The following is a 12,498-nucleotide window of genomic DNA, read 5'->3' on the forward strand; positions in this document are numbered from 1 at the left end:
TCGATTATGATGAAACGGAATTGCTGCAAAAGTAACTTTCGTATTCAATAGAACCTAGTTTTATAATAGCACCCAATAGTGCAGTAAGGAAATACAACATTATCTAATTGGATGTTATTAAAATGGAGATAGTTAACTTTATAATAAAGAACTACTTTACCATGGTTTTCTCATTAGCAAAATGAAAGTCTTATTTCCTTGAATTTCATTATTGTTGTAAATTTCTTCATTTAGTAAAAAAAAAAGGCTATTAATAGCTATTAGGTGCCTATTACATGAACAAGATAGAAACAGGGTCTTCCCATCTGGAGGGTGCAGACTGATAAGGAAGATAGAAAATGAATAACTAATTAATAAATTGCATGAAGAAGTACAAAGGGAAGCCTTCTTTAGTCTCTGGGTGTGTGTGTGGAGGATGCAGTCAAGAAAGTCATCTCCAAGAAAGTGATATTTCGATAAGACCAGAGGATAAGTAGGAATTTTCTAGGCTAAGGGGGGTTTTGGAGGGAATTGAGTGAGGAATTTCAGGAAGGAGATATCATGTAGAAAAGCCCTGACAAAAGAGATAGCATAAGCGTTTGAGTTTTTCATTGGATAGGACACTGCTGGAGTGTCGTATGTAATGGCAAAGTTTGAACAAATAAGCTATGTTTTGCCAAAGAGAAATGTACACTCACCCATGGGATGTAATAATGAGGAATGGGAAGTCTTAGGGACTCGAAAGAACAGTTTTTAAATGTTATTTCCTTTTGTGGCAAAAAGAAAGAGAACAAATTGGTGCAGATTATCTTCATACATCAAATTGCAACAGAAGACTGCATAAGTAAACCACCTCCAAATGACATGCTTCTCATTCACAATTGCTCAAAATGATTCTCTCTGTGGAAAAAAAAACTACTTACATAGTCATGGACTTTCCACAAAGGTCAGTTTCGAACCATATCATAGTTTACTCATTCACTGTTGACTCTCTGGGTTGTCTTATGCACACAAGGCTTCTTCCCTGGATGGGTTAAGAGTTAAATCTTGGATGGGCTTATTGACTTTAGGCATCAAGAAGAGAAAGAGGCTACTCCCTTTGTCTAGAATAACAACCACAATTTTATTGCCAAAAGTAACTCAACCTTTATTTATAGTTTCAGTTATAGGCCATCTACATTAAGATACCTAAATAACATTAAATTTGATTGCAGAGTTTTATATTAGCTAATGAGTAGATTGATCAAAATTTAATTTTGAAGTTTATCTGGTACATCTTGGCATCATCTCTCTTCCTTTCCACATATCTCTTAGGATATATTTATCCAACTCTGTTAGAAATACGTGTTGCTGGGTTTGGCATCTTTCTCGAATGTGAGCACAAAATAATCTTTGTATTTCCAGCACTTACTGCAGTGCCTGGCAAAGAGAGATGCTCAATACATGTTTATTGAAAGAATAAACAAGTGAAAAAAATGAATGTGAACATAGGAGAAAGGAGAAATCTTTAAATGACTTTTTCTCTTAAATAAATGAATTTTTCACTTCAAATGGATGTGACCATATCTAAATTATTTGACTAAATAATATTGAAGAGGCAAGATTTTTCAAACATAAGAATATCAATATAATCATTTATAATATGTTCAACTTTTATCGAACACCAACTAGGTTCAAATCAGCCATAAAAAGAGGTGTCAGACATACTTCTTGCCTTCTAGAAACTTGTGACAAAGTTGAACAAGAAAAATGTGTGCTTAAAAATGTAATGGTCAATGTAGAAAATATATGCTACCTGCTGAATGGGTACAATAAAAAAAGAGAGATGCCAGACTTCGGAAGGTAAAGAGAAATCACAGGTTTGTAAGAGAGAAGAGCCTACGTATTATACTAGACTCCTCTGATTGTTCTTAGATGACTAACCACTGAGTCATAATCTTGTCTTTCTGCATATATTTCTCATTATTTATTTTATAGCTGACTGCCTTTGAATACATTGCTTACATTTTCCACATAAGAATAACTGGAAAAGAGGAGGAAATGAATATTTGTTGATCACCCATTGATATGGTTGGGCTCCGTGTCCCCACCCAAATCTCATCTCAAATTATAATCCCCATAATCCCCATGTATTGAGGGAGGGATCTGGTGGGAGGTGACTGGATCATGGGGGTGGTTTCTCCCATGCTGTTCTCGTGATAGTGAATCAGTTCTCGTGAGATCTGATGGTTTTTTAAGTGGCGGTTTCCTCTCTTGCTGTCTCTCTCACTTGCTGCCATGTAAAACATGCCTGATTCCCCTTCCACCATGATTGTAAGTTTCCTGATGCTTCCCCACCCATGCAGAACTGTGAGTCAATTAAACCCCTTTCTTTATAAATTACCCAGTCCCAGGGAAGTTCTTTACAGCAGTGTGAAAATGGACTAATACACCTATCATATCCCAGACATTGCAATCAGATTTTTCCATAACGTACCTCTACCTTAAATCCCTTTTTAGAACATAACCACATTCATCTGTTTTTTAATTTGATCTGCACCTTTTGCTAGTTGTGGAACAAAACTTACTTGAATGTTTTTCATGAAACAATTTTGTTATAATATACTTTACCTAAAATAAGCCTCATTTATTTTAATTGTACAACTCAATGAGTCTTGAGAAATGTATATCTCTGTGTAACTATGGGTGTCTTCAAGATAGAGAATATTATCACCCCCCAAATTTCCCTGATGCTTCTTTGCAGTCAACCCTAGCCTTGGGCTGCCTTTAATATGCTATTTGTCACTGCAAGTTGATTTGCCTTCTGTGGAATTACATATAAATGCATCATACAATATGTATGCTTTTGTGTATGTCTGCTTTCACTCCATGTCATGTTTTTGAGTTTTGCTGTGTGTTGTTTCATTTTAATTTATTAGTACTCAATAGTATTCCACCATATAGAAATACTACCTTTTGGCCAGGTGTGGTGGCTCATGCCTGTAATCCCAGCACTTTGGGAGGCTGAAGCGGGTGGATCACCTGAGGTCAGGAGTTTCAGACCAGCCTGGCCAACATGGTGAAACCCCATCCCTACTAAAAATACAAAAAGTTAGCCAGGCGTGGTGGTGGGTGCCTGTAATCCCATCTACTTGGGATGCTGAGGCATAAGAATTGCTTGAACCTGGTAGGCGGAGGTTACAGTGAGCTGAGATCCTGCCATTGCACTCCAGCCTGGGCAACAAGAGCGAAACTCCATCTCAAAAAAAAAAAAAAAAAGAAAGAAAGAAATACTACCTTTTTAAAATCCATTCTCCTGTTGATGTACCCTTAAATTCTTTCTTTCTTTTTTTCTTTCTTTTTTTTTTTTGCTGCTATGAATAAAGTTGCTATGACCTTTGATCTTCAAATCTTTGTGTGGCACATTTTTATTTCTCTTGGTGAATACCTAAGAGTGGAATGGCTGAGCCACATGCTAAGTGTACATTTAGCTTTGTAAGAAGCTGCCAAATTTTATTCCAAAGTGATTGTTGCATTTTACTTTCTCCAGTACAAATAGTTTCTCCACATTCCCATCAGCATTTCGTATTCTTAATATTTTTAAGTTTAACCCTTCTAGTGGGTATGTAGTGGTATCTCACTGTGATTAATTTGCATTTCTTCGAAGTCCTAATGGTATTGAGCTTCTTTATGTGAGCTTATTAGACATTCATATATTTTCTTTTGAGAAATGTCTACTCAAATCATTTGCCCATGTAGATGTGTAAGAGTTATCTATATATTCTGGATACAAATTGTTTGTAAGATATATGTATTGCAAATATGTTCTTCTCTCATTCTGCAGCTTGCCTCTTTATTTTCATAACAGCTTAATTTGATATAGTCCCACTTACCTATTATTGTCTTTTATGGTTTGTTCATGGTCTGGTAACAAGTTCATGGAGGAAGAATTCATCTCATGGCTACAATTATTAAAATTCAGTTACTTGATTGATTCTGGATAAGGCAGTAATGTTAAGGATCTTCCTATAAGAATGATTATTTCTTATAGTTTCTATTAGCTCATCCCCAGATAATGAAACAATTCTCAGACATTGTCCTCCTAACCCCTTAGATGTCTAAATAGAAAGAGTTATAGAGCCTCAGGGATATGAAGGAAATGATGAGTCATTCTTGCAATCCTTACGTTGAATAAACATTTTAGTATTCAGACCATTTTTTCCAACACAAATTTCCAGAACCTATTTTTATTAAAGAGAGCAATCTAACGTAACTCATCTGGATATTAGAACAAGAAAGGAAATGAGGACCTTCTTTCCAATGTTTTATTTATAGGATACCTGCCTGAGTTTCCACAGCTTGACAGTGGAATGTCTCCAGTCAACATGTCACTTTCTCTCAAGTAGAATCATGACCTAGGAGTGGCTAAAGTGGTCCTGTTGGCACAGTGAGAGCTTTCTAATTAGTTAGATCTAGGTATACATGCTGGATCAGCAACTTTGGCAAGTCTCTTAAAAGTTCTGAGCCACAGCTTCCTTCATTTGTAAAATGTAAAGCTTGGGATATATAAGCCAGTATATAGCAGGCTCTCACTAAGTGATAGATAGACATAGACAGATGATAGATAGATAGATAGATGATAGATCGATAGATAGATAATATAAAGAATGAAATGAGGAGATTTTACTGCTAGTGCATTTTTATTAACAGAAGAAAGGAGGCTGAGAAATTGATGAAAACATATGACAAGACTAAAACTTGGTCTTTATTTTCAATAAACTCTACCTAGGTTTTTGGTCATGATGATAATCTAATAACCTACTTTCATAAAAAGCATTTATTCCGGAAGTCATGGATACTAAATAGTGTCCCTAGCATACAAAACCTAAGAGGCAAGTGGTATCACAATAATTTTCAAAGATAAGGTAAAATACAGTTAAATGTTACTAAGACCATATCTTCCTATGAGACCCTTTAAATTTTGAATTAGTAAATCAAAACTTGAAAAATACAAAAGGACAACATTAGAACACTCACCTACATTCCTCCGCCCATCCCACCATGTCACCCACAGCCCTGTTCCTTAAAGCTAAAGAGGTTTATCACCTATTCAGTGTTTCCATTTGCCAATACAGTCAAAGATGAATGTATATTATTTCCTCCCTTTTGTCACAAAAAAGTTAGTATACTAAGTTCACTGTTGTGCATCTGGCTTTTAAGAAATATAGTGGCCATGAGAAGCTACTAAGAATCATTCCAATCTTATGTACTGTGCTGCTGAACCAAGAACTCTAAGCTCTTTTTTTCTTCTTTTTTTGAGACAGGGCCTCGCTGTGTTGCACAGGTTGGAGTGCAGTGGTACAATCTCAGCTCACTACAACCTCTGACTCTTGGGCTCAAGCCATCCTCCCACCCCAGCCTCCCAAGTGGCTGGGATTACAGGCATGCACCACCATGCCCAGCTAATTTTTTGTTTGTTTGTATTTTTTGTAGAGAGAGGGTCTCACCATGTTGCCCAAGCTGGTCTTGAACTCTGGGCTCAAGCAGTCCACCCACCTCCATCTCCCAAAGTGCTGAGATTACAGGGGTGAACCACTGTACCTGGCCTCTAAGCTTTCTTTAAGTAAAAAGTGACCTACCTCCTGGCAATGGCTTAGTTCTCCTTTTGCCTAAGCTGGCAGTAGGTAAGAAGTCAAGGCCTCTATAATATCTGAAGACATAGTCTAGAGTTAAATACTTGCAAAAACAAGCTCTGAGGATTCTGACATTCTACCTTCTGGCAAAATCAGTCTTAAGGGGTTTGTTTTGGCCTGAAGGCTTGTGCTACAAATAAAAGTATATTTCAGTGTAAAAGTTAATGCAGCTTTTCATAGAGGAGTGAATGTTTTCATATGCAAAGCTTGAAAGGGAAAGAGAATCTAAAGCAGTCTTATTTTTCTGATTAGGACAAATGACCAGGAGAAAGCCTTTAAGGCAATTGTTTGCAAAATGACTTAATTATCACCCTGGAGGAAACTGTAAGCCTCTTGTAACACTGTCCTTCAGGAAACTTACAGGAGAGACCTTTCTGGCAGTCGTAATGGTGGGTGGAATACAGTGTTGAAGTCATTATCGTACATGCGGTTTATTTGATGATTAAATTGCCTGGAAGCAGTTTCATCTTTCTGAGTTTATAAGCATCCTAGCTTGTTTTTCAAAAACCTAAAAGTACATGTACATGATGTTACTTAAATCTATCAGAACGGAAGGCAGGAGGAAGTTGGGGTCAGTCATACAAATGTTATAAAGTATAAGGTCATTTAAATCATTTGTAATTTATTTACTAAGAATACATTTGCTATGTCTGCAATAGATTGGCCTTCATTTCTGTGTTTTGCCTCTGCTAATAATCAAGTTTATTTGCATTTTCTGAGTATAAAGCAAGTAATTATGAGAACAAGTGCCCTGAAGACAGCTGAGTGGTAGGTGTAAGGCAGTCTGGCTTCCAGATTTTCTATGTTTCTAGACTGTGAGACAGAAAACAGCAAATCCCTGGAGTCTAACCACAAGGAGGATGCTGCCCACTTGCATATGAAGACCAAAAGCTTCCAGTTGCATAACACTGTGCTTTCCTCTGTGGATGTTGGCCATATCCCAGGACCTTGATAATAGGGCTCATGACTCCTAAAGTGTGCAGGAAAGCCTTGCAAATTTTGCATCTATGTCAACTCACCCTGTGAGGTCAGCTTTTGGCAGGATGACCAGACCATGTACTACTTTTGGAAGCCTGCAGAAGTTGCTGGCAATCCTCAGAAGTGTGTCTTCCAATTTGGAACAAGATTTTCAAGCCTAGATAGAAACAGAGAAGATCACTTTTCTTCCTGGTCCTGTATAACATAATCTCAAGCATTCTTGGACACCCACTCTTATTGCCTAAGCCAATGATTTTGTATCTGGTCCTTAATTCCACACTACTCTGCAGCATCTCATTCAGCTATTGTGCTATTTAGCTTTTACATACTGTAGTTTTCAACATTTTGTGTCACTGTAATTTTCAGCATTTTATGTCACTATATTAACATAACTGAATTAGAAGCTCTTTTTGTGGTGGTATTCTATTATTCATTCAGCCCATATTGATTGAGTTCCTACTATGAATCAGATCCTCTTCTAGGGGCTGATAATAGAGTTCCTGTTATCTTGGAGCTCCAGACAGTACAATGCAAATATGGAAATGCAGCTATAATATGTCAGATGTGAATAATTAATGAAGATCAAGGGCCGAGAGAGTAGGAGCTGATTTCCATTGAATCATGAGTGAGGAAAACTCAGTCCATGTGGAACTTAGGCAGAGTCCTGAGATCAGTGAGGGAATGAGCCATTCAGACAATAAATGCGGGAAAAAGCACCTAAGGCAGAGGGAATGATGACTGGTGGATGCCTGGTCCTTGCATAGCAGTGTGTTTGTCACATTCCAGGAAGAGCAAGAAGGTAAATATGGCTAGAATAAAGAGGGAGAGAGGAGAGTAATAGGAGGTGAGATCAGATACACAACAAAGAGCCAGAGTGGACAGAGCGAATCAGCTCATAGATCCTTGATAGAACTGTGGCCTTTATGCCCAGTGAGATGAGAAACCCTTGAAGAGGTGGGAAAAATAAGAGACATGCTCTGTCACGTGTTAATGGTTCACTTGAGTGCCCTTAGGAAATCGACCGTAAGGGAGGTGGGGAGAAGCACAGACCAGTTACAGAGATATCACATCACAGTCCAGACAAGAGATGTTAGTGGTGAAAACCAGTGCCTAGAGGAGTGATTCTGATGTAATTTATATCCAGCAATCATCCCTCGAGATAATTTGGGCCAAGCAATTTGCCTGAATCTGTTCTTTTTACCATTGTACTAACTTATTAAAATCAACAGTGAATAAATGTTATATGAAGAAGATAGATTGATTTCATTCATTGGAAAGTGTGTGAGCCATGGCTACTTGTATATCTCCTAGGTAGCTCATATTGGACCCATTCAAAATGATTAGCAGATTTGGATGCTTAATATTTCTTCTACCTTTCCTGTCTCATTTTAGGGCAAAGTTTTAGTTATTTATTTTTATTTCAAAATGTGATAAAGAAATCTTCTAAGAGAAGATAAAAACCTGTTTTTATTTTCCTTTAAGATTTGGGCTATACTGATATTCTAGCATTTTGAGGCTTAGACAATAGGTGACTATATCTCATCATTAGCAATCTAGACCCAACAGCTTGTTTCTTTTTGAAGGAGAATATAGAGAGGGTCAGGCCCAAGGCTATCTGAGGAAGAAAAATATTTCAGAAAACATTCTTTTCATCACATACACACAAATGACAAATGTTTGGGGTAATGGATATGATAATTATTCTTATTTGATCATTACGTATACATTGTATACATGTATTGAACTATCACAATATACCCCATAATTATGTACAATAATTATGTGTCAGTTAAAAATAATAGTAGCCTTTCCATATTACCCAGAGAGGGTCCATATGACATTATTCTGAATTCCTCTCAGAACTTAAAGGGAAACTTTTACAATGGCCAGAACCTGTGATGTCCTGAACATGAAAGAGGAGGATGTCCTCAAATTTCTTGCAGCAGGAACTCACTTGGGTGGCACCAAGATTGACTTCCAAGTGGAACAGTACATCTGCAAAAGGAAAAGTGATGGCATCTGCATCCTAAATCTGAAGAGGACCTGGGAGAAGCTTCTGCTGGTGGCTCATGCCATCATCACTGTTGAAAGCCCTGCTGATTCAGTGTCATATTCTCCAGGAACACTGGCAAGTGGGCTTTGCTGAAGTTTGCTGCTACCACTTGAGTCACTCCTATTGCTGGCCACTTTGCTCCTGGAACCTTCCCGCACCAGATCCAGGCAGCCTTCCAGGAGCTGCGTCTGCTGGTGGTTACCGATCCCAGCCTCTCACACAGGCATCTTACACTAACCTGCCTACCATTGCTCTGGGTCACACAGATTCTCCTCTTTGCTGTGTGGACATTGCCATCCCATGTAACAACAAGAGAGGCCCCTCAGTGGGCCTGACATGGTGGATGCCAGCCTGGGAAGTTCTGCATAAGCATGGCATCATCTCCCGTGAACGCCCATGGGAGGTCATGCCTGATCACTACTTCTACAGGGATCCTGAAGAGATTGAATAGGAAGAGCAGGCTGTGGCTGAAATTCCCAGGAGGAATTTCAGGGTAACTAGACTGCTGCATATCTTGAGTTCACTGCTACTCAGCCTGCAGATACCTCTGGGCCCACTCAGCAGTTCCCTACTCAAGACTGGAGCTCTTGGCCTGCCACAGAAGCCTGGTCTGCAACTCGACTGCTCAGGCCACCAGATGGGTAGGAACAACCACTGAGAGGTCTTAAGCTGTTCTTCCACAGACTCTAAAGCAAGATGGAAATAAGCTTGATGAAAAATAACCATCAGCTTCTAAAAACATTAATAAAAATAAAAGCAAAAAAATTTTTAAAAGAGTCATTAGAAGCATTCACACTGTCAATCAGTAAATATTTATTGGGATATGTATTCATAAATATTTATAAATATAAGTATTTATAAATATTTATTATTTATATATAAGTATTTATAAATATTAAATATTTATATTTATTATATTATATATTATTATTTATAATATTTAATAAAATAAATATAAGTATTTATAAATATTTATTAGCTACACTGCTGGCCAAGATAAATAGATACAAAGATGGATACTGCAGTCTGGTTGATGAAATAGCAACTAATATACAGCGATGCCAATCACAGGATACAGATATGCAGGATGCTATGAAAACTGAGAAGGGAGGCGGTCTCACTCTATATGGGTGAAGCATGCCACAAGATATTGATATGTGAGATGAAGCTTCAAGGAGATGCAGGTGGACAAGGAGGTGCACTGACAAGTTTTAGTCTTTGTTTGAGAAGACTGAAATTAGTAGGGATTCCCTCTAAAAATGAAATAGTCCACAACTGAAGAAAAACTTGAAGATTACGCCAGTGTCATCAGATGGCAAGAATATCCATAAGTTAGATCTCAGGTATGAGGTAAGACTCCTAATTGCCGGTCGGATGAGACAAAAATCAGGAAGTTGACTTTGGTTTCTGGACGGTAAGAATGTTACTGCTATTGGGAGGATTTGTGGTAAGACCTGAGCCCTCAGTGGTGTCAATAATCTTTAAAGACTTGTTTTGAAGTATTGCTACATGGGTCATACTTTATTCCATGAAAAGCTTCCTGAAATATTGCAAGCATTTTTGAAAAACAAATTTGGCCTTATTTTATACAGATCAGAGATGCTTGTAGATATAAGAATCTTACAACTTATTGTTTTTATGTAGTTAACACTCTTTTCGTCTTTGGAGGCATTCAAGCTTACTATTAAGATAGAGAGGCTGGAATAAATCAGCTTTGATGCAGATTCAGGCTCTAGTACCTACCTGCTGTCCTTCTTTACTTTAATTAGCCTTTGTTTTGTCATCCAAAAAATTGAGAGAATAATAGTGCCTTCATCACAGAATTATGATGGAAACACAATCAGTATATGTAAAGCACTTAGCAAAATGGCTGGTGTGTGTTAAATACTTAATGCATAAGATTTCTTATTATACTCAATCCACAATTCACTTTTTGTATACTTGCATTTCATAATGATTTGGCCTCAAGTAACATACTAACTTATATAACACAAACCAACCTTTATCTAAGAATTCTGGCTTAGGGGCTATGATGAGAATATGCTTCCTGATAGTGAAGAAAAACAGTACAGAGATTTAATGTTTCCCTGTAAATAAAATAAAATCAGTCTCCATGTATCTAAAAAATGTGTATCTGCTTTGGATTATTTTATAAAGTTTTGCCAGGCAAGACCAAGACAGGATTTTTATGTTTGGCTTTGTTACACCCCAGCCTACTCTCCATAGAGCAGGACCTCCTCCCCACAATCTCCAATCCTATATAGCCTCAAGTTTCTCCTCAACTGCCTTCATTTTTGCTTGTGAAAGAAGAAATCTATCTTGCGTAACTTTTTCTGTCCCCTCCTGATGATGAAAATTTGCCAGCCCAATGTCTCACTCTCCATATTACCTTATAGAAGAATACTAGTTAATATAATAGTGATTGTTAATATCTATGGCCTACTTCCAAATGACGTGGATAAACTAGCAAAGTCCTTTTAATACATTCATTTTGTTTTAGTCTTAAATAGATTTAAACAAAAATAAAAACCTGGGTAATACCAATGCCATTTTGCCATGGATATGAATTGTGAATTGAGAAAGATGGCTGATGATGCTTAATGAATGACCACAGTGGATAATTCAGTCTGAGGAGTGTGAGAAGACTTTTAAACAAAATCTGAATAATAGGTCTTGACATTTCAGTGCACATGTGTTTGTGTGTATGTGCCCACCTGCATGTATATGAGTTCATTTAAATTCTTTTGCTTCTCATACTTTGCCTACCAAATAATTATGATTTTCCAAAATATGCGTGGGTTTCAGAGCCAATGTTAGTTATTAAATTGTGTAATTAGAACTTTGCAGCTTGAGTATTTTATGTTCTCATAAAGATTTTGTGCATAAAGACTTTATTAAATGTTTCTCGGCTGGGCTTGGTGGCTCCTGCCTATAGTCCCAGTACTTTGGGAGACCAAGGAAGGCAGGTCACTTGAACCCAGGAGTTCGAGACCAGCCTGGACAACATAGTAAAACCCCATCTTTGCAAAAAATACAAAAATTAGCCATGCTTGGTGATGTTGCTGTTGTCCCAACTACCTGGGAGGCTAGGGTGGGAGGATGACTTGAGCCCAGGGAAGTGAAGGTTGCAATGAGATGAGATGGTGCCACTGCACTCCAGCCTGAGCAATAGAGTGAGACCTTGTCTCAAAAACAAAAAACTAAACAAAAACAAGACTTTCTCAGTGGTTGATCCTATTCTATTTAAAATTATAATATTTAATTATATCTACAAAATCATCTGAGTTCTCTTAAGAATTTACACATTTCCTGTGAGGATGGTGTGATAAAGATATAAGCACTAAAGGGACTTTGGAGTGCTCTGTAGAAGTCAGAATGATTATTGTCGGAATTTGATGATATAGATTCTCCCAGAACCTCACAGCAGTTCTCACTTCTATGCCTTAACACACTGGGATTCACTATGATATATGTCACAAATAATTTCTTATTAATAAAATACAACCATTTCCAAATGAATCACTCAAGTTTACATTGATTTAAAACTCCCTAAAACAGTGTGGTCCTCTTGAGTGTGAAAAAAGGCAGTAGTTACAGATATTTTGTGTAAGGCTTAAAACATGGTCTCAGACTATAGTGGGACTATGAGTCTCCTGGGGAGGCTGGTAAAATGCAGATAGATGGACCCAACCTGGGTTGAGGCACAAATTTGCATGTTTAATGAGTAACTCAGGTGATTCTGACACAGATGCATAGACATTGCATTTTCACAAACAGTGGTGATGGGGTCAAAGGAAAGCTTCCCATCTGTCCTTT

General features: G+C 37.6%; 1 protein-coding gene and 1 pseudogene across 7 annotated transcripts in view; both read left to right on the plus strand.

Moving 5' to 3' along the window:
• Positions 1-12,498, plus strand: part of RAB27B (RAB27B, member RAS oncogene family) — a 177,660-nt gene that overhangs the window by 18,380 nt on the left and 146,782 nt on the right. The window lies entirely within an intron of this gene.
• On the plus strand, positions 8,437-9,420 carry RPSAP57 (ribosomal protein SA pseudogene 57; annotated as a pseudogene).

Source organism: Homo sapiens, chromosome 18, assembly GCF_000001405.40.
Source record: "Homo sapiens chromosome 18, GRCh38.p14 Primary Assembly".
Classification (NCBI taxonomy): Eukaryota; Metazoa; Chordata; class Mammalia; order Primates; family Hominidae; genus Homo; species Homo sapiens.